The sequence below is a fragment of the Homo sapiens genome, chromosome 7, assembly GCF_000001405.40.
Source record: "Homo sapiens chromosome 7, GRCh38.p14 Primary Assembly".
Classification (NCBI taxonomy): Eukaryota; Metazoa; Chordata; class Mammalia; order Primates; family Hominidae; genus Homo; species Homo sapiens.
In genome coordinates this window covers 105,483,538-105,505,559 of record NC_000007.14, presented here as the reverse complement: position 1 = coordinate 105,505,559, position 22,022 = coordinate 105,483,538, and the positions used below count along the sequence as shown (strand labels likewise).

Below are 22,022 nucleotides of genomic sequence, written 5' to 3'. Positions count from 1 at the left end.
AGAATCCCAGAGTACCAATTATACCACAATGTCCGTTGTAACAGGACCACCATTTGCTGTCTGTCAGGTATGTGACCCAGGTCAGATTCTGGCTTCAGCAGCTTCTTGGCCTCAGTTGGGACTCTGGGAAGGGGAGGAAATGGGGAAAGGAAGTAGGGGAGCATTTATTTGCTCATCGTGGGTCAATTCTGCTATTGAAGAAAAGGAGAGCTCAGCTACTAAGTAGAATAGTAAATTTTGTTGTTAAAGCTTTTGTTCGCCGGGCACGGTGGCTCACACCTGTAATCCCAGCACTTTGGGAGGCCAAGGTGGGCGGATCACTTGAGGTCAGGAGTTCAAGACCAGCCTGGCCAACATGGCGAAATCCCGTCTCTACTAAAAATACAAAAAAATTAGCCAAGCGTGGTAGCGCAGGCCTGTAGTCCCAGCTACTTGGGAGGCTGAGGCAAGAGAATCTCTTGAACCTAGGAGACAGAGGTTGCAGCGAGCAGAGATCATACCACTGCACTCCAGCCTGGGCGGCAGAGCGAGACTCCATATCAAAAAAAAAAAAAAATTATGTTAAATTAATTTTGTACTACATTTTAATGAGCTATGGGGTTTTCGGTTGTCTGAAATTCCCCCTCCCAGCACTCCTAGTTAATAAGCGTACTACAACTTTTCAGAATTCATTATCTGCTCCTTGTCTCCCTCCTTACCTGAGCTTCCCAAAAGCGTGTGGTATTGCAATGTTAGAAATCTTCCATTACTGAAAAAATCTTTAGACAAAACCTTTAGCAATGCCAAGAGGAAAATTCCTGGCAGATTTCTAGAGCAATCCAGAAGGATGGTCCAAGTTTCCTTTGCTTGTACAATGCAGAGGTTTATCTTAGGCTTATAATATGTATTTTCGTATACATGTGGTAAAATTTACTATTGTCTTAAAAACTGAGGTTTTCCTATCTACTGAAAGTCTGTACATTTAAAAGGCATAAACTATGGGCAAGCTTCCTCATTTGTAAAATGAAGATGGACTTTCTGAGTTTTTGAGGTCTAAACATGTATTCATATACACAAACTGTCGTTCTCCTTGCTATCAGTAATTTCAGATCTAGACTCACTTTTTGCTATGAAGAAGTCATTTACCTGTAATCGTAATGTAGTTTGGTGGATTTTTTTCATTTTTTATTTTGTTGAAGTATCATTAAGTTGCTGGGCGCAGTGGCTCACACCTGTAATCCCAGCACTTTGGGAGGCCGAGGTGGGTGGATCACCTAAGGTCAGGAGTTCGAGACCAGCCTGACCAACATGGAGAAACCCCATCTCTACTAAAAATACGAAAAATTAGCTGGGCGTGGTGGCGGGCACCTGTAATCCCAGCTACTCAGGAGGCTGAGGCGGGAGAATCACTTGAACCTGGGAGGTGGAGGTTGCAGTGAGCCGAGATCGTGCCATTGCACTCCAGCCTGGGCAACAAGAGTGAAACTGTGTCTCAAAAAAAAAAAAAAAAGTGTCATCAAGTTTAGCCAGTAGCAGTTGCAGTGTATCTCGATGTTTTCAGCTTGCAGGTTACAACCCATTAATGGGTCATGAAATCAGTTTAGTAGTGGATCTCAACCAGCATTTTTAAAAAATGGAATAAAATAAGGGCTGGGCACAGTGGCTCAGGCATGGAATTCCAGTACTTTGGGAAGCTGAGGTGGGCAGATCGCTTGAATTCAGGAGATCGAGACCAGCCTGGGCAACATGGCGAAACGCCATCTCTACAAAACATAAAAAAATTAGCTGGGCATGGAGGCACATGCCTGTAGTCCCAGCTTCTTGAGAGGCTGAGATAGGAGGATGGCTTGAGCCTGGGAGGCAGAGGTTGCAGTGAGCCAAGGTCGCATCACTGCACTCCAGCCTGGGTGACAGAGCCAGACCCTATCTCAAAAAATATATATAATAATAGCAATAACATAGAAAATACTTGTGCATTGCAAATAGTATGAATCTTGTTTTGTGAATTTTTTTTCGATTCTTAAAATGAGGTATATACACACACATTTGTGGTTGTATTGAGTAAAGAGGGAGGGAAAATTCTCAGTATGAGATGCACTCACACGCTGAAAATATCATGTAACTAGTGAGTTTATATCATGTTGATTTTTCTTTACTGTAAACCCATGTGCTAGAACCTCATTATAAAATAATTCAGAATATAATTCAATAAGAAGCAGCTGTAGGTTGGATTGTTCAAAGGACTGAGCTTCTCACATACCAAAAGGCCTAGCTTTGCCTGCATTTTCATGTAGGATCCCTAAGGTGTCTGTCCAGCAGAGACCCTGAGAAGGTGCATCTGGGTTGGTGGCCCATGGGTTTGACAGCCTGGATTTTAAATCCAGCTCTACCACCTTCCAGCTATATAACCGCAGACACAATTCCTCACTTCTAAATAGATATAATGGTGTTATGATGGAGAGATTACAAAGATTAAATAAAATGATGACCACAGTGCTTTGTACAGTGTCTGGCAGATGGATGTGCTCCATCAACAGGCTCCCGGGATTTGCAATATTGGGAAGCTCTGAAATATTTTTGAGACTGGGCACGGTGGCTCACGCCTGTAATCTCAGCACTTTGGAAGGCCAAGGCAGATGGATCACTTGAGGCCAGGAGTTTGAGACCAGCCTGGCCAACATGGTGAAACCCCATCTCTACTAAAAATACAAAAACTAGCCAGGCTTGGTGTTGTGAGCCTGTAATCCCAGCTACTCAGGAGGCTGAGGCAGAAGAATCCCTTGAACCCGGGAGGCAGAGGTTGCAGTGAGCTGAGATCACTCCACTGCACTCCAGCTTGAGCGACAGAGCGAGACTGTCAAAAAAATAAAAATAAAAGATTTTTGAAATCGTATGCAGGCACTTTTGTTATTTTGCGTAGTTAATAAGGTGAGCAGTGTTTTTACTAATTCACTGTATTACTTCCCTATTTAATGTTTGTTAACTTGGTGGTATTGCTATCTGTTTTTTTTAATAGGTTATCGAGGACACCAAAGAGAAAAGAACCATCATCCATCAGGCTATCAAATCTCTGTTTCCAGGATTAGAGACAAAAACAGAGGATAGGGAGGGGAAGAAATACATTGTAGCCTACCACGCAGCTGGGAAAAAGGCTTTGGCAAGTAGGTGTCTGTGAGCAGCTTCCTCCTGCCAGGCAGCCGTGAGCGGCAGGCCCCGCTCCTCGTTAGCCTTGCCCGTTCGTGTTCAAGGGCTACTATAGTGCTGCTCAGAGAACAATATTGATCATGTCCCTCCTTCAGAGAGGGTGAGTATTGTCACTTCAGATGCCAGCGCAGTCCTGCAGCCTGCCTGGCAAGGGGCATTAGGTCTTTTATGTGAGTAAAGATTTGCTGAAATTATAGTAGTGCCTGAGAGAGAGTCTTAGGGATTTGATATGTTCCCTGAAGAGCAGAGCATACTGAGTGGCAATTCAAGAAGAAAATAGAAGGATTATTGCTCATTCTGTGTTCTTCATGGAGGAAAGAAAGCTTTCAGATGAACAAAAAACGCTTGTCACCTATCCCAGTGGCACATTTTTTGCAAGGCCCCTATATATATATATATATATATATTTTTTTTTTTTTTTTGAGACGGAGTCTCGCCCTGTCGCCCAGGCTGGAGTGCAGTGGCACGATCTCGGCTCACTGCAAGCTCCGCCTCCTGGGTTCATGCCATTCTTCTGCCTCAGCCTCCTGAGTACCTGAGACTCCAGGCACCTGCCACCACGCCTGGCTAATTGTTTGTATTTTTAGTAGAGACGGGGTTTCACCTTGTTAGCCAGGATGGTCTTGATCTCCTGACCTCGTGATCCACCCGTCTCGGCCTCCCAAAGTGCTAGGATTACAGGTGTGAGCCAGTGCGCCCGGCCAAGACCCCTGTATTGAAAGAGGCATATTTTTTTGCCAGGCCCCTATATTGAAAGAGCTTTTGCTTTCCAACTGTATCTTCTTCAGTCACACATAAAAAATATGGAATATATAGAAAGACACCCTTTTATCTCAGCCCATCTTTTGTTGTGTATCATTCATTTGAAATGGGCATAGTCCCAGTGAGTCACTGATATTTATGTTCTAATGTGTTATCTACAGCCACAAAAGTTTCTATTTGCATATAACCTTTCAGGAAAATTAGGTAATTTTTTTTTTCACCTACCAAATTGACAGATAAAATTTAAATGAAAATTACAACAAGAAAAAGTTATTTCCTCACCCTCCTCTCCTACTAGCGGTGGCCTGTATTAATGAACATTTATTCCTAGATATATTTGGGGCAAAATTCTAAGACCATATAACAAAAAACTGTTTATTTATTAGGGCTCTGTCAGTATTCTTTTAGGTTAATTCAAAAGATAATACTGTGATGGATGAAGCCTTAATTGCTTATAACCATGTTTCTAGTGAAATGAGAGGGTATAACAAAAAAGAGAACAGGAGGAAAGCTTCGCTGTGCCTGAGGAAATAATCTAGTCAAGGCAGCAAGTCTGGATAGTGCTATAGAGATGAGATACCTGAGCAGTTCCAGAGGAAGAGGTGGAGATCAGAGGCCAGTTTTCAGTGAACACTGTAAAGAAAAGCCAGATGATGTGTCCTGGAACTGCTTGGGGCATGAGTCCTGAATTACTTTTTACTCCACAAACGAATGGTGTGGTTGCTGTGTGTTTCTTTAATGTCTGGGTCATGGTATAAAATGTCACCTGAGCAGCCTTTTTTCAGCCAAGGTTGCTCAAAGAGGAGTAAGCCCAGTGGAAAGTGATTGGAGCCACTGTTGGTTCAGTTCTCCCAAGGATAGTGTGTAGCTAGTAACTACTGTAGATGGAGAGGAGAGGTGACTTCTACAAACAGCCATGCCTTGGGGCACTTGGTCCTAATTCTCTCAGGGAACCCAGTTGGGAAGGCTGCTAGGGAGTTATTTTTTGTCAAGAAACAGCCCATGTTGGTCAGCAGTGCTGCCCATTATGAAGGCGGGAAGACAAGGCAAGGTCTTACTCTGCTTGGTGTGGTCATGAGGAAGCAGGTTGGAAAAAGCAAAAACTGTTTTTTTGACTGGTGGCTTCTTGGAAGTGATAATCATTTCTTAGGATGCCGGGTTTTGTGAGAGGGTGGAGGGCATTTGCAGGCCAAAGCAGCCATTACAGCCTTTCTACCCATCCCCTTCATTAAACACAGCGCCAGGTCTCTCATGTTGTGTTTTTATCCACATTTTCTCTGCTTATGCGACACCCGCCTTTCTTTTTTTTGTTGTTGTTGTTACGAAGTTTCCTTAAGATTTTACAAGTGAAGTACTGAGCTGTGCGATGTGAACCACCCTTCCCCATTTTCGTTTGGACACCTTCAGTAAGAAAGGAATTTCTCACTTTAAAAAGAAGCAAGAAGGAAGTCAGATTGGATCAACTCCCTCTTGTATAGAGAACCACACTTCTTGGGCTTGTGGTGTTGTGACATTTCTTCAAAGATGGACTAAATCTCTGCCATCTCTCCCACCTCCTCATGGAAGGCCACCCCTGGCACAGATGGGCACTTAGGAGCCTGCATTCATTTTTATAGACCCCACTCTCCCCAAGCTGAGAGTGGCCTAAAGTGAACACCCCTAGGAAAGGAGGAAGAGCTGGTATCCAAAGATTATTGTTCATGGCCCTCTACCAGCGACAGCTTGTCCTCCTGAGCCATCTTGCCTAGCATTTGAATGATTTAGCTTTTAAAGTATCATTACAAAGCTTTGTAATTTACAGTTTTTTTTTAGCTGTATTACTACCAGATCCTGATAGAAATTGTTATTATGCATTATCTAGCAGATTCACAATATTCTTAACCTGAACTTTTCTCAGATAGAACTGTGCATCCTAAAACATAGATGTGGTGGATTCTAAATCATTGTTCCCAAACACCACAAATTACCAACTATTTAAACTCAGACATTATTTTATGTGTTAAGCCAGTCTGATAGGGCACATTGCTTTACCTACCAAAATGTATATGTGATTTTTTTTTAAAATACCATCTAAACTATCATAACATTACTGATAAATTAATTTATATTTTGAGACAGTATACATTCCAAATGCTTCTAAGAACATAGTTTTTAAAGACTTATGTAAAAAAAAGAAAATTCTGCCATGTGATAGGTACAGGTTCTCTATACTTTCTGAAATGAATGGTCCCCAGGAGGGATCCCTGTATGTAGGAATCCATAGAGACTCAGGAGGAAGAGCTAGACAGGTACAAAGAAGCTCTCTGGGAAAGACTGGTGTTATAGAATCCACAGGAATAGGGAATCCCAATAATCAGAGTGATCAATGGACTACCATTGCTTCCATTCCTGTGGCAATGGAAAATGCTACAGATAGGTCCAGCAAGATAATTACTCTGAAACCTGTCTATCAGTTTAGCAACATGGAAGTTGTTGGTGTCTTTTCACCGGAGCATTCTAGTGGAATGATGAGGTTGGAAACCAGTTTACATAGTAGGTTGAGATGGAAGGTAGTATATACAGACTGCTTTTTCAAATAACCTGCAAAGAGGAGAAGAAGCGAACATAATTAAGGAGAGGGGAACATAGGTTAGGCTTTTAAGATGGAAGAGCTGTGAGTTATTTATATATGCAAGGGAGACAATGGAGGGCCAGGCGCAGTGGCTCACGCCTGTAATCCCAGCACTTTGAGAGGCCGAGGCGGGCAGATCACTTGAGGCCTGGAGTTCCAGACCTGCCTGGCCAACATGGCAAAACCTCATCTCTATAAAAAGAAAAATATATATTTTCAAAAAGGAAAGAGACAATGGAGAGAGAAGGTGAAAATTCAGGGAGGCAAATAACAAAATAAAGATAATGGATGGAGTAGGATCCCTGAAAAAGCTGAAGGTTGGTGTGCAGGGGTGTGATGGTGGGAATGACCTTGAATAAGAAGGAAGGAATGTTCCGCATGCTACCCCATCTTTTCATCTTTCTCAGCTAGAAACATTTTTCCTTCTTTATTCATGGAGATGTCTGTGCTCAATAAATCAAACTTCCTGAACTTGGTTTCCCTTTTATCTGGTTTCCATTTCTGCTAGACTGGGACTGCCTTGTTAGGCCCTCAGAAGCTGGATGCAGCCTTCTTCAAATAGGAACCATATTACCCAGCCTGGGAATTCTGTGCATTTGCAGTATAAATCAGTGTCTCAAAAATGTCTGCAAGTTATTTTAAATTCATTCAAATTGTAAAGCTAAGTATATGCTGCTTAGCATTCTTAGGGGGTGGAGTTTTATAAAGTCACACAAATTGCCCAAAATAAATGGAGACTCATTGATTTTCTGTTATTTAAAATATTCCCAGTTAATCAATGCATATGCTTACTATTTTGTATATTGAGTGTACTTAGAAAAAGAATGCATACTTGTATCTGTTGTTTGCAAAGGAGATAATTGTATGCATGCTCAGTGCTTGGATTTGCTAAATAGAAGATGCATGCTTGTGAGCCAAAACTCATACTCTGTTGTCATGGTTTCTCTTAAGGTATAGCAGCATTTAGTTTTTGAGTCTTGTGGCTTCATTTATTTCTTGTCATTATACTTAATTATGAATACTCCAAAGGGGTAGTTGAGAAAAATGTAGCTACACTTCATCAACTTTTATCACAAGTGTTTTTAAAGTTTTTATTATGGACATTTTCAAACTTGCAGTCAAATAGAGGAAATAGTATATGGAACCTATGTACCCATAAACCATCTTTAAGATTATCAACATTCTGTTGTTTTATTGATTTATCCTTCCTCCTTTTTTTTCTTGCTGGAGCATTTTAAAGGAAATTCTACATAGCATGGCTTTTCACTCATAAATATTTCAGTATCTATTTGCCAGATGAGGACTGAAACCCCAAACTATTATCACATCCAAAAACATCAACAATAATTTCTTCCTATCACATACCTATTGCATATTTGGTTTTGCTGTATCTCAAAAATGTCTTTTTTATATGCAGATGGCTTGTTCAAAGAATGATAAAAACAAGGTCAGAACATTGCACTCATTGATAAGCCTCTTAAGTCGTCTCTTAAATCTTTTTTAATCTATAAAGAACTTAGCTGTTTTCTATAATATTTAACATTTTTCAAATTTAAAAGTCTTTATAATTCAATGCAAGAAATTCATGAAACGCAGAAAAAGCAAAGCAATAGTTACTTGTCTCACTATCAAAAAAAAGATAATCACAAATAGCATTTTGGTACATGTCCTCCCATATTTAAGTAAACAGATCTCTTTTTGGGGAAGCATTTACTATCCTTAAACCTTTTGCTTCATCTCATGGGTACAGACAGTGCAGCTTTGAGCGTGAACTAACATGCCCATTGTGAAGGGATTGAGACAAGGAGGCTGCACCTGTAGAAGAGTTTTCTACTTGTTCACTGTTTGCCTCTAAAACATTCCATTGTTAATGTCTAAATGGCTGTTAACCCACCGCATAACTACCGGGTGCTGTAGAAGTCCTCAGTGTAAACTTAACCATGCGATCATTTGCATGTTCACCTCTAAAGCACTTTAATATTATAAATTAAACATTGCTCTTTTGTGCTCTTTATGCTGTGCATTTGGACAGAGGTCAGAACTGCAGCAGGTAAGAGCATTTGGCATTTCATGTAGATAAAGTGAAATGCCAAAGATTTTGTCACAAGTGCTAAGTATAGACAACTTTGCTTAACTGATAGTGAGCTGGAAGGAAAACCGAAAATGATATTCCTGCTCAACAGTTTTCTGAAGAACTTGTGAGGAATTCACACCAAGGACTAAAGAAATACTTGTAATACTTTTCTGTCCAAGACAGAAAAAACTCACATATTTATCAAGAAGGAAGGGTGATTCACTAAGCATACATGCTATGGCAGTTTTCTGAAATGGTTTATGGAGTCTTTTGTTCTTTTCATTGTAACTTATCACTAACTTACCAAACAGTGCTTTTGCCTTGACAAAGCCAGGTATCCAAGTACCAGCTTCGGTACCAGCAGTATCTTAAGCCTCTGAAGATAAGGGATTCATGAGTTCATGAAAAAGGATTATTTTTAAAAGAAGAGGACTCTTTCTAGGAATTGTTGTATGAAACATTTTTTCAGTTTTTCTTTCATGGAGTTACAGTAATCAAATGAACTAGATGTGTTGTTTAAGTAACAACTGCAGCTCTGTGCCACACAGGACTCATGAATGTTATTGTACAGCGTCTATAAAGTGCAGTTTAGGCTTACATATTTTTCCCAAAGTACTTAAAAAAAAACATTTTGAGCAGCTTAAATCTAAAGCATATATATGTATGTGTCTCTCCCTCTCTCTCTCTCTCTCTCTCTCTCTCTATATATATATATATATATATATATATATATGTGTGTGTGTGTAGATATGCATACTTTTTTTTTTTTTTGAGACGGAGTCTCGCTCTTGTTGCCCAGGCTGGAATGCAATGGCACGATCTTGGCTCGGTAACCTCCACCTCCTGGGTTCAAGCAATTCTCTTGCCTCAGCCTCCCAAGTAGCTGGAATTACAGGCACTCGCCACAATGCCCAGCTAATTTTTGTATTTTTAGTAGAGACGGGGTTTCACCATGTTGGCCAGGCTTGTCTCAAACTCCTGACCTCAGGTGATCCGCCCATCTCAGCCTCCCAAAGTGCTGGGATTACAGTGCATGGGATTACACTCGGCCTAAATCTTACATTGTTTAACACAGGATTGAACAACTGAAGTAACACTAGCTGCTCAGAAGTTAACATTTAACCTGGCTTAATTTTTTTATGTTCTTTTTTTTAATTAAAAATGTTTTTCTTTTATTTATTTTTTGAGACAGGGTCTTGCTCTGTCACCCATGCTGGAGTGCAGTAGCATGATCTCGGTTCACTACAACCTCCACCCTACATGTTCATGTGATCCTCCCACCTCAGCCATCTGAGTAGTTGGGACCACAGGCGTGTACCACCATGCCTGGCTATTTTTAGTGGAGACGGGTCTTGCCATGTTGCCCAGGCCAGTCTTGAACTCCTGAGCTCAAGCCATCTTGCCCGCCTTGGCCTCCCAAAGTCCTGAGATTACAGGTGTGAGCCACCGTGCCCAGCCACATTTTAGCTTTTTATTTTTAATATGGATAGATAATGTTAAGTGTCCAATTACAGGAAATGTAATACCTCTAGTCCACACAGCTATAACCACTTAACCTGTATTTCTTTATCAGACTAGAACTGATTTTCCACTCAAAGGTTCTATAGCGAAAAATGAGCTCTTACATCTATAACTTTTATTATGGTATATATAATGTTAATTCTTTTGCTTTCAAGATCCAAGAAAACATTCTTGGCCAAAATCTAGGGGAAGTTACTGCCACTTCGTACTATATAAGGAAAACAAAGACACCATGGATGCTATTAATGTACTCTCCAAATACTTAAGGTGAGTTACTGTTGTTATGCCTATACAAAATCAAAGCAACAGAAACGTATATTCCTTTTTCCATGCTAATGGAAAAAGGAGCAGGAGGAGCACAGATTACAGATAGTAAATGCTCCTCCCAATGATAGTTTTCTTTCTTTCTTTCTTTCTTTTTTTTTTTTTTTTTTTAGACAGTCTCACTCTGTCACTCAGGCTGGAGTGAATGATGGTATGATCAGGCTCACTGCAGCCTTGACTTCCTGGGCTCAGGCATTCCTCCTACCTTAGCCTCCTGAGTAGCTGGGATTACAGGCGTATGCCACAATGCCAGGCTAATTTTATTAGGTTTTAGAGACAGAGTCTCACTATATTGCCCAGGCTGGTCTCGAACTCCTGTGCTCAAGCAGTCCTCACACTTCAGCCTCCCAAAGTACTGGGATTAAGAATTGCCGATCGGCCTGGCGCAGTGGCTCACACCTGTAATTCCAGCACTTTGGGAGGCCGAGGAAGGCAGATCACGAGGTCAAGAGATCGAGACCATCTTGGCCAACATGGTGAAACCCAATCTCTACTAAAAATACAAAAATTAGCTGGGCATGGTGGCATGTGCCTGTAGTGTTAGCTGCTCAGGAGGCTGAGGCAGGAGAATTGCTTGAACCTGGGAAGCAGAGGTTGCGGTAAGCCGAGATTGTGCCACTGCACTCCAGCCTGGCAACAGAGCAAGACTCCATCTCAAAAAAAAAAAAAAAAAAAAAAAAAATCACTGATCATGGATAGGAAGTGCATTGTTTCTTCCAGGCGTGAGCCACTGTGCCAGGCCGTGAGGATAGTTTTCTTAGGCAATGGATGAATTAATTTTTTTGACCCCCACATACGTAGTGCCAATAATTCAAGATGAAAATTCCATAAGTAAATGATTCGCATGCAGCTGAGAGTTAACAATCTGGTTGAAAATAAAAATTAACTTTCTCTTTTGAAAGCCTATACTTATCCTTTGACGTGGTTGCAGAGGTTGGTTTTGCCAGACTGGGAGCTCTCAATTCCTGGAGACTGACTAAACCTGAGACCGGTCTGATTTTCTAACAGGAATGTAAATATAGCAGAGACTGGATCTCTGGGGATCGGCAAGGTGCCAAAGCTTTTCTTAAAAATGGAAGTGGCTACACACCACAGCAAGTCTGTATGCTGTGGAAATTTGGTTTCCAATATATATTTAACTCATTTTAAATATGGAAACAGTGTATTAATTTGCTAGGACTTCCATAACAAAATACCACAGATCAGGTGGCTTAACAGAAATTACTTTTCATATGCTTCTAGAGGCTAACAGTCCCAAGCTCAAGGTGTCGGCAAGTTTGTTTTTTTTCCGGAAGCCTCTCTCCTTGGCTCGCAGATGGCTGCCTTCTCACTGTGTCTTCATGTGGCATTTTCCCTGTGCACGCACACCCCTGGTATCTGTGTGTGTCCCCATTTCCTCTTCTTAGGAGGATACCAGTCAGATTGGATTAGTGCCCACCCTAAATGGCCTCATTTTAACTGAATCACCTCTTTGAAGGCCCTATCTCCAAATACAGTCACATTCTGAGGTCCTGGGGGGTCAGAGCTTCAACATACTAATTTTGGGGGAGACACAGTTCAGCCCATAATACACAGTACCCAATTAAGTAACATTTATTTTGCTCTATTTATTAACTCCCTGGGAGAGAGTCTGTGCTACTATGCCTGTACCTGAGCCAGAGAGAACAGACGATTCTTGACAGGAATAGGTGGGTGGGGAGGGAGTTCCTCCAAGATCGGGAGTTGAGGATTGCTCAGGATTTAAGAAATCCTTCCTGGCTTTTTCCTTCTCATATGGAACGGTTAAGTTTATAAAATACTTCTTAGTTAACTAGGTTACTTATTATCTTCATATCAAAACTATTCAGATCCCAGTTTTAGCATTTCATTTGGCTTTTTTCATTTTTTAATACAAAGCAATAGCAGCATGGAAAATTCACACAATAACTTTTTAAAAACTGAAGATAAATTTTCATAGTGGTACATTATATCTCTAGAATGCATTTTTCTTTGCTTTCACTGTCTTATGTAATGTAATGAATTGTAGATGATGGATAGGAAGTGCATTGTTGCCTTTTTTGTTGCTGGCTAGCCAAGTCTTTGAACAACATCAGTTATTTACTAATAGCCACAAATGTTTACACTGCTAAGAAAGGAATTATTGACTGGGCGCAGTGGCTCACCCCTGTAATCCTAGCACTTTGGGAGGCCGAGGCGGGTGGATCACCTGAGGTCGAGCATTCAAGACCAGCCTGGCCAACATGGCGAAACCCCATCTCTATTAAAAATACAAAAAATCGGCCGGGCGCGGTGGCTCACGCCTGTAATCCCAGCACTTTGGGAGGCCGAGGCGGGCGGATCACGAGGTCAGGAGATCGAGACCATCCCGGCTAAAAAACGGTGAAACCCCGTCTCTACTAAAAATACAAAAAATTAGCCGGGCGTAGTGGCGGGCGCCTGTAGTCCCAGCTACTTGGGAGGCTGAGGCAGGAGAATGGCGTGAACCCGGGAGGCGGAGCTTGCAGTGAGCCGAGATCCCGCCACTGCACTCCAGCCTGGGCGACAGAGCGAGACTCTGTCTCAAAAAAAAAAAAAAAAAAAAAAATACAAAAAATCAGCCAGATGTGGTGGTGCATGCCTGTAATCCCAGCTACTTGGGAGGCTGAAGCAGGAGAATTGCTTGAACCCAGGAGGCAGAGGTTGCAGTGAGCCAAGATTGTGCCGCTGCACTCCAGCCTGGGTGACAGAGAGAGACTCCGTCTCAAAAAAAAAAGCGAAGAATTATTTGGCCATCATTTACCTTTTTTGTTTTTTTTTAAAGAGAGCAGGTCTTACTACGTCACCCAGGCAGGAGTGTAGTGTGCAGTGGCTGTTCACAGGCACCATCATAGCGCACTGTAGCCTCCAACTCCTGAGCGCAGACAGTCCTCCTGCCTCAGGCCTCCCCAGTAACTGGGACTGTAGGTGCATGCCACCACACCTGGCTATCATTTACTTTTCTAGCTTGCATATGAATTTATGTTGTTTTAGTAGATTTTTTTTTTTTTTTTTTTGAGACGGAGTCTCTGTGGCCCAGGCTGGAGTGCAGCAGAGTGGTCTCAGCTCACTGCAACCTCAGCCTCCTGAGTTCAAGCAATTCCCCTGTCTCAGCCTTCCAAGTAGCTGGGACTACAGTCACACACTACCACGCCCAGCTAATTTTTGTATTTTTAGTACAGATGGGGTTTCACCATATTGGTTAGGCTGGTCTTGAACTCCTGACCTCAGGTGATCCACCTGTCTTGGCCTCCCAAGTGCTGGGATTACAGACCATGAGCCACTGCGCCCAGCCTCCCTGGATTCATGTTAAAATAAAGTTTCTCCTCATTCTTCTCTTACTGTGTTATGATTGTAAGTATGTTTATATTAAAACTTAAATTATGAGAATTAGGATTTCCTTATAATATTACAGTATGTGACTTCAGATGATCTTGTTTCTCTCTTACCAGAGTCAAGCCAAATATATTCTCCTACATGGGAACCAAAGATAAAAGGGCTATAACAGTTCAAGAAATTGCTGTTCTCAAGTAAGTAGAGAGCACGTAACAGGATTTATACTGTAAATATCCTGGCACTGCTTTTCAGAATTCTCAAATTTACTTTGGGGGTTTCTCTCTCAGCTTTAGATGGTGCTTCTGCCTATTTAAAAATTACTTTTCATTCTGTTTTTTTCTTCTTCTTATCTATGAAACGTGTATTATTTGTGTAATTTTTAAAGATTTTTTTGGTAAAGCCAAGAGAATAATGCTTCTTTCTCTCTTTTGTTCATTCATTGTTAAATATGTTATTTAAAATTACAACATAGTGAACATGCTGTTTTGTTGTACACCCGAGAGCTACAGATAAAAGCAATAGTCTGTGTTTTTGAAGCAATTATAATTAGTGGAATAGACGGACATGTAAATCAGAACTTCTCCTGCAGTGAGATAAATACTGAAATAGAGATATACTTTGGATGTTAATGTATGCCTGTCAACAAGCATGGGAGTTGATGTGGAGGGAACACAGGAAAGCTTTCATAGAAAATGGGATGCTGAGTTTTAATTTAGTTCAAGGCTTCTCAACCTCTCCACTGTTGCCCTTCGGGGCTGGATAATTCTTTGTTGTAGGGACTGTCCTGTGCGTTGCAGGATGTTTTGCAGCATCCCTAGTCTCTACCCACTATGTAGCAGTAGCAACTCCTTGCCCAGTTATGATAGCAAAGAATGTCTCTAGGCATTGTCAGATATTCCCTGAGGCCAGAATTGCCCCCGATTGGGAACCACTGGTCTAGATTCTAGAAGGATGAGTAGAGATTTCCTGGGGCTGGGTAGGATTTAGGATTGTTTTTTCCAAACCAAAAAAGCAGGTTAAGAAAAGACGTTGGAAAGCATATTTGGTACCTGGCATGTACTTTAGTTTTTGAGGAGCATAGCGAGAAATAAGGATCTAGGAGTTAGGCAGGATGTAGATCCTGAAGGGCCTGTTAGGTCAGGTTGAGGGTCTTTGCCTCAACCTTAATCTAAATGGGGATTGGTGTATAGAGGCTGGATTATGGATCGCCGGTGGAGCAAGACATGCAAAACTAGAGACCAGGGCTATTGACGTATTCTGGGGAGGGAGAATAAGGGTCTGAACCCAGTTAGTCACAGTGAAGGTAAAAGAGAAAGGATGAATTTAATAGCTGTACTGTGTCAGACACATTTAGGCTGTCTTATTAGTATACCTCCAGAGGCAAGGAATGGTGGGAGAGAGAAATAACATAGGGGCAAGGAAACTTCTGGGGGTGATGGATGCATTGTCTTTAATATGGTAATGGTTTCATGGGCTTATACACATGTCAAAACTTGTACATTTTAAATGTGTACAGTGTATGTCAGTCATACTGCAATTAAAAATAAAGTACGCTATGTTTGCTACCTCTACTTAAATACATGTATTTATTTTGGTTTCTCGGATTTTTTTTTTTTTTTTTTAGTCTTGCTGTGTCACCCAGGCTAGAGTGCAATGGTGGGATCTTGGCTTACTGCAACTTCCACCTCCCTGGTTCAAGTGATTCTCCTGCCTCAGCCTCCCAAGTAGCTGGGATTACAGGCATACACCAGTGCACCTGGCTAATTTTTATATTTTAAGTAGAGATGGAGTTTCGCCATGTTGGCCAGGCTGGTCTTGAACTCCTGACCTCAGGTGATCCACCCACCTCAGCATCCCACAGTGTTGGGATTACAGGCATCAGCCACCACGCCCAGCCCATATATTTATTTTGAATTTCCTCATCTTTTTATAAAGAATTTATGGTGGTATCTCCTCTTTACCCCATAATCCCCTACAATTGGGCTTCTTTCCCACTACTTTTCTGATTCCCCTGAAATAATGTAGTTGTTGAACCGGTTGTATCGTAATGTTTATTCCAGTTCTTTTTCTTCCTTGACCTTGAGACAGTGGCATGATGTCATAAAAGCAGTCATCTCACCATTGCTTTTACTGGTGGTGTGTACAAATATTGAAGCATTTGAAAGAGAGCAGGAGTAAATACATGAAGATGATGGTGTTCCTATCTGGTGGCCTGGTTTCATTTTCTCGCTGTGGCATATAGAATGTGGAGTCATTTGCTCAGAGTGAAGGGGCAGGAGTGGGTAAGGGAGCTTGAAAGAGAGTGGAGATTTGAAATAACCTTTGTGGGTAATGGACCAGGGACTCCCCAGAAACTCAGAAGAATGGGGGTAGGGGGACAGGGGTTTGAAGGCTCAGGCTTTCTCATCCTCTGTGGATAGAGGTCACAACAGAAGGTTTTTGCCTTGTTTTTGGTATCTAAAATACCTAGTCACCTCCTGTGATTTCTAGCTGGCTCTGTGAATTTTGTTTCTGATTAAAAAAAAAAAGTCAGTTTATTTTGTTTCTTTTTCTTTTCTTTCTTTCTTTTTTTTTTTTTTTTTTTTTGAGATGGAGTTTCGCTCTGTTGCCCACGCTGGAGTGCAGTAGTGGGATCTCACCTCACTGCAAGCTCCGCCTCCTGGGTTCACGCCATTCTCCTGCCTCAGCGTCCTGAGTAGCTGGGACTACAGGCGCCCGCCACCATGCCCAGCTAATTTCTTGTATTTTTAGTAGAGATGGGGTTTCACCATGTTAGCCAGGATGGTCTCGATCTCCTGACCTCGTGATCCACCCGTCTTGGCCTCCCAAAGTGCTGGGATTACAGGCGTGAGCCACTGGGCTCTGCCTATTTTGTTTTCAACACAGAAAGAACTAGGTAGAAAATGAAAGGCCTGCCATAACTGTACTTCTTCCGAGATCACCTTATTCACAACATGGTATATATTTTTTGAGGGACTTTTTTTCCTTTTTAAACAGCAATACTTATGTATTCTTATTTTGAACAATAGATGGTGTACCTTATTTCCTGTAGGTATATAGCAAAATATGTTTGAATGTATGGATATATCCTAATTTAAACTATTACTCTATTTTTGAATGTTACATTGTTTCTCGTTTCTTGCTGTTATAACCCAGTCCATGACAGACGTATTTGTAGCTAAATCTTGGCACACATCTGTGATAACTTCATTAAGATAAACTTAGCAGTGAAATTACTGACTTAAAGGGAATATGACATTTTAATGTGGTTTGTCTTTTTTCTTTCCATCTGCTGGTCAAAACACAGAGAAATTCTCTCTCTCTTTTTTTTTAATAGCAAAGCCTAATTATCCTGCAAAAAAGTGGTACCAATTTACCACCTTTATTCTGGTTCCCTAGAATCTTCCTCAGCATGGTGTTATGATGGGGACAGGGAGTCATTTGCTAATTTGAGGGTCAAAAAATGGCATCTTGTTATTTTATTTTGCGTTTTCTGATGTGAAGTCTTAGAATAGTTGAAGACCAAGAATATTTCTTTTTTTTCTTGGTCAGCCAGCAGATGTCACACTTCATCAGGACACTGCTCTGTCCTCAGATTTTTGCTGCCTTTATCATCTTCCTGTTGACTTAGTAAGAAACTGTGTTAGACACCTAAATGTTGGCCCTCTGAAAGCACACAGCACTTATCTCACGGATACAGGCTACACCCTTAGTTTGTTTAATGGATACATGGGGCCAGGCAGATTGGCCTTTCCCGTGGGAACTTGTGAACAGGAGAAACCCACTCTGCCACACAGGCATTTGAATGACTGCTGGATTGATCGGTCCTGGGGATAAGCAGCACGTCTTTTCAGCTTCATGAAACTCTAAAGCCACCTAGTAATTTTAACAGGGTCTCAGGCAGGAACAGTCTCATTCAGAATGATTTGTTTCTTTTCCTGCCTGTTCCTGCCAGTCTCCTTTCTGAACTTGGGCCAGTATTTCCCTGGCTTTGTTAATTAAGGTTTTCTGTGCATCATGTTGCTTAATTGGTTCCTGATGTTTAAAAGCAAGATTTTTATATTCCCTAGTTACTCACTGAATTTGCTGTAAATTTACAACCAAAGACCTTGATCTGGGATCATCATAATTAAAACTGTGAATAGTATCATGAAGACATTGTCAGCTTCATTCCATTTCTCAGGGAGCACCCATACCAACCAGAACTGAGTATAGTTCTTGCTTTTTGCTGTGCCAGTGGAATTTAGAGATGGATGTCTATCGTATATTCAAGAATTGATACTACTATTCGGCCACAAAAAAGAATGAAACAAAATACTGATATATACTTAAAACATGGATAAACCTTAAAAACATTCCACTAAGAAGTCAGGCGCACAAGGCCAGATATTGTATGATTCTGTTTATATGATGTGTCTGAAATAGGAAAATCTATAGAGGCAGAAAGTAGATTAATGGTTGCCGAGGTCTGCAGGGAGAGGAAACGGGAGTGACTGCTGAATAGGTACAGGGTTTCTTTTTCAGGTGATGGAAACGTTCTTGAAGTATATAGTGGTGATGGTTTCACATTGTTGTGAATATACTAAAAATCACTGGCATGTACACTTTATAACAGTTAAAATGGTGAATTATACATGTGTATATATATATTTATTTATTTTATTTTATTTTTTGATACAGGGTCTCGTTCTGTTATCCAGGCTGGAGTACAAGTGGCACAATCTCGGCTCACTGCAACCTCAGCCTCTGAGGTTCAAGTAATCCTCCTGCCTTAGCCTCCCGAGTAGCTGGGATTACAGGTGTGCACCACCATGCCCTGCCAATTTTTGTATTTTTAGTAGACACGGGGTTTCACCAGGATGGCCAGGCTGGTCTCGAACTCCTCATCTCAAGCAATTCAGCCACTTTGGCCTCCCAAAGTGCTGGGATTACAGGCGTGAGCCACCATGCCCAGCCTTGTGAATTTTATATTATGTTAACTTTATCTCAACTTAAAAAAAAAAAGGACAGAACTATCAGGCACTTCTGTGGCACCATCAGGAAGCAGTCTCCGGAACACTCTCTCTAGGACAGCTCCTGACCCTGAATTGTTCTGTCAGTTTCTACAGCAGTAGTTCCTGGCTGAAGAGGAGTTTTGTCCCCCGTTCCTCACTCTGTTCATACTGATCCTCCGCTTCTAGATTCCTTGGGATACAATCCCTGGGTTAATTCGTGCTCTTGGGTTCTACCATTGCTCCCATACATAGTCCAGGAATTCAAGGTTACAGTGAGCTATGATTGCACCACTGCACTCCAACCTGGGTGGCAGAGCAATTCCTTGTCTCTAAAAAAGGAAGAAAAAGTTATATAAGATAAGAAAATATACAAAAATCAATATGTACAGCTGGGTGCGGTGGCTCACGCCTGTAATCCCAGCACTTTGGGAGGCTAAGGCGGGCAGATTACTTGAGGTCAGGAGTTCCAGACCAGCCTTGCCAACATGGTGAAACCCCGTCTCTGCTAAAATTACAAAAATTAGCTGGGCTTGGTGGCAGGCGTCTGTAATCCCAGCTACTTGAGAGGCTGGGGGCAGAAGAATTGCTTGAACCCAAGAGGCAGAGGTTGCAGTAAGCCTAGATCACACTAGTGCACTCCACTCCAGCCTGAGTGACAGAGCAACACTCTGTCTCAAAAACAAAACAAAACAAAAAAAAAAAAGAAAGAAAAATAAATATAGCACCTGGATAGGTGCAGTGGCTCACGCCGGTAATCCCAGCACTTTCGGAGGCCAGGGTGGGCAGGCATGGTGGTGCATGCCGGTAGTCCCAGCTTCTCAGGAGGCTAAGGCTGGAGACTTTGTAAGCCCACGAAGCAGAGGTTGCAGTAAGCTTAGATCGCACCACTGCACTCCAACCTGGGCGACAGAGACTCTGTCTCAAAAACAAAAAAGAGATATAGCACTTAAAGCAATTTCATACTGGAACATGACTAGGTAGAATAGAGTAATCCTAGACCCAGATACATCCAAGGATTTAGTACGTATTCAAAGTATCATTTAAGATAAGTGGAGAAAATAATGGTTGATTCAAAAAATAATGGTTGATTCAAAAAATGTTGGATAACTGAGTAACCATCTAAAAAACCATTTAAGTGTGGCTCCCCTACCTCATTTCCCTTTGCTAAATAAATTCCAGGTGGATCATAAATTTGAACATTAAAATGCAACTTTAAAAGGACTCTACTTAGGCCGAGCAAGGTGGCTCATGCCTGTAATCCCAGCACTTTGGGAGGCTAGGGCGGGCAGATCACCTGAGGTCAGGAGTTCAAGACCAGCCATGACCAACATGGAGAAACCCTGTCTCTACTAAAAATACAAAATTAGCCGGGCATGGTGCCGCATGCCTGTAATCCCAGCTACTCGGGAGGCCGAGGCAGGAGAATCGGTTGAACCCGGGAAGCGGAGGTTGCAGTGAGCCAAGATCGCGCCATTGCGCTCCAGCCTGGGCAAAGAGCAAAACTCCATCTCAAAAAACAACGACGACAACAACAACAAAAAACAGTACTCTACTTACATTTGAGATTAAAAAAAAAAGAATCTCTGACCAGGTGTGGTGGCTGACCCCTGTAATCCCAGCACTTTGTGGGGCTGAGGCGGGAAGATCACTTGAGTTTGAGACCAGCCTGGCCAACCTGGTGAAACCCCATCTCTGCTAAAAATATAAAAATTGGCCAGGCATGGTGGTGTGTGCCTGTAGCCCCAGCTACTCAGGAAGCCAGGGCAGGATAATTCCTTGATTTCAGGAGCCAGAGGTGGCAGTGAGCTGAGATCATGCCACTGCACTCCAGCCTGGGCGACACAGAGCAAGACTCCGTCTTAAAAAAAAAAAAAAAAAAAAAAATCTCTGACTGGTGACATCCTAAGTATGAGTTAAATCTCAGAGCTTTTTTTTTTTTTGACAGCCAAGCTGGAGTGCAGTGGCACGATCTCAGCTCACTGCAACCTCTGCCTCCCGGGCTCAAGCAATTCTCCTGCCTCAGCCCCCAAGTAGCTGGGATTACAGGCGTGTGCCACCACACCCGGCTAATTTTTGTATTTTTAGTAGAGACGGGGTTTCACCATATTGGCCAGGCTGGTCTCGAATTCCTGACCTCAGGTAATCCGCCCGCCTCGGCCTCCCAAAGTGCTGGGATTACAGGCATGAAGCACCGCGCCCGGTCCCAGAGCTATTTTTTTTTTTTTTTTTAAGAAAAAAAGATTCATGAATTTAACTAAAGTTTCTCCATATAGTTGTTTGTTTTAATTTTAGAGATGGGATCTTGCTGTGTTGGCCAGGCTGGTCTTGAACTCCTGGGCTCAAGCTATCTGCCCATCTAGGCCTCCTAAAGTACTGGGATTACAGGCGTAAACCACTGTGCCTGGCCCCTACATAGTTTTTATTTACAGAAGAATGCCAACAAATATAGAAACACAGTTTCAGTCAACACAGTAATAATCAATTCAGCCAACAATCATGCTTGGGTACCTAAATAATTGGGTAAAGACTTTGGGGGAACAGGATTTTTACACAATTTCAAAAGTATTTCCCCACTGATGACTAATTAAAAGCAAAGACAAAGAGACTCTTAGAGTGTAAAAATCTAGTAAATACTATCCTAATTAAATGATTAAAGTTATTATCATTGTTGGACAAAATCACTGCCTTTTGATGTGATGCATTGAAAAGGGCCATATCACCTCAGTAATATTTCTACCAAAGTGTTTACCTGAGTCTCAGCATGAGGAAACAATCAGATAAATCCACATTGAAAGACGTGTAAAAGCGCTGGCCTGGATTCTTCTAAGGGCCAGATATCATGAAAAACAAGGCTAGACAGATCACTTAGTGGAAACCAAACAGACATCACAGCTGCAATGTGTGATCCTCAATTGGATCCTGGCAGCCTAAAAAACAAAAAGATGGCCAGGTGCACTGGCTCATGGCTGTAATCCCAACACTTTGGGAAGCTGAGGTGGGTGGATCACTTGAGGCCAGGAGATCGAGACCAGCCTGGCCAACATAGTGAAACTCTGTCTCTACTGAAAATACAAAAAAACATAGCCAGGTGTGGTGGCATGTACCTGTATTCTCAGCTACTCGGGAGGCTCAGGCAGAAGAATCTCTTGAACTTATCTCACGCCTGTAATCGCAGCACTGTGCGAGGCCAATGTGGGTGGAT

At 41.9% G+C, this 22,022-nt stretch overlaps 1 protein-coding gene across 9 annotated transcripts in view; it reads left to right on the top strand.

The window, feature by feature from the left end:
- PUS7 (pseudouridine synthase 7) overlaps nt 1-22,022 on the top strand; it is a 65,771-nt gene that overhangs the window by 16,712 nt on the left and 27,037 nt on the right. For 5 of the 9 annotated variants that reach the window (XM_017012367.3, XM_011516336.4, XM_005250462.5 and 2 more), the window contains 4 exons: nt 2,996-3,140; nt 8,589-8,606; nt 10,307-10,418; nt 13,943-14,020. In XM_017012367.3, coding sequence (XP_016867856.1) covers nt 2,996-3,140; nt 8,589-8,606; nt 10,307-10,418; nt 13,943-14,020 — 353 coding nt within the window. The remainder of the gene's footprint in view (nt 1-2,995; nt 3,141-8,588; nt 8,607-10,306; nt 10,419-13,942; nt 14,021-22,022) is intronic. The other 4 variants (XM_047420533.1, XM_047420532.1, NM_001318164.2 and 1 more) reach the window with 1 other exon arrangement.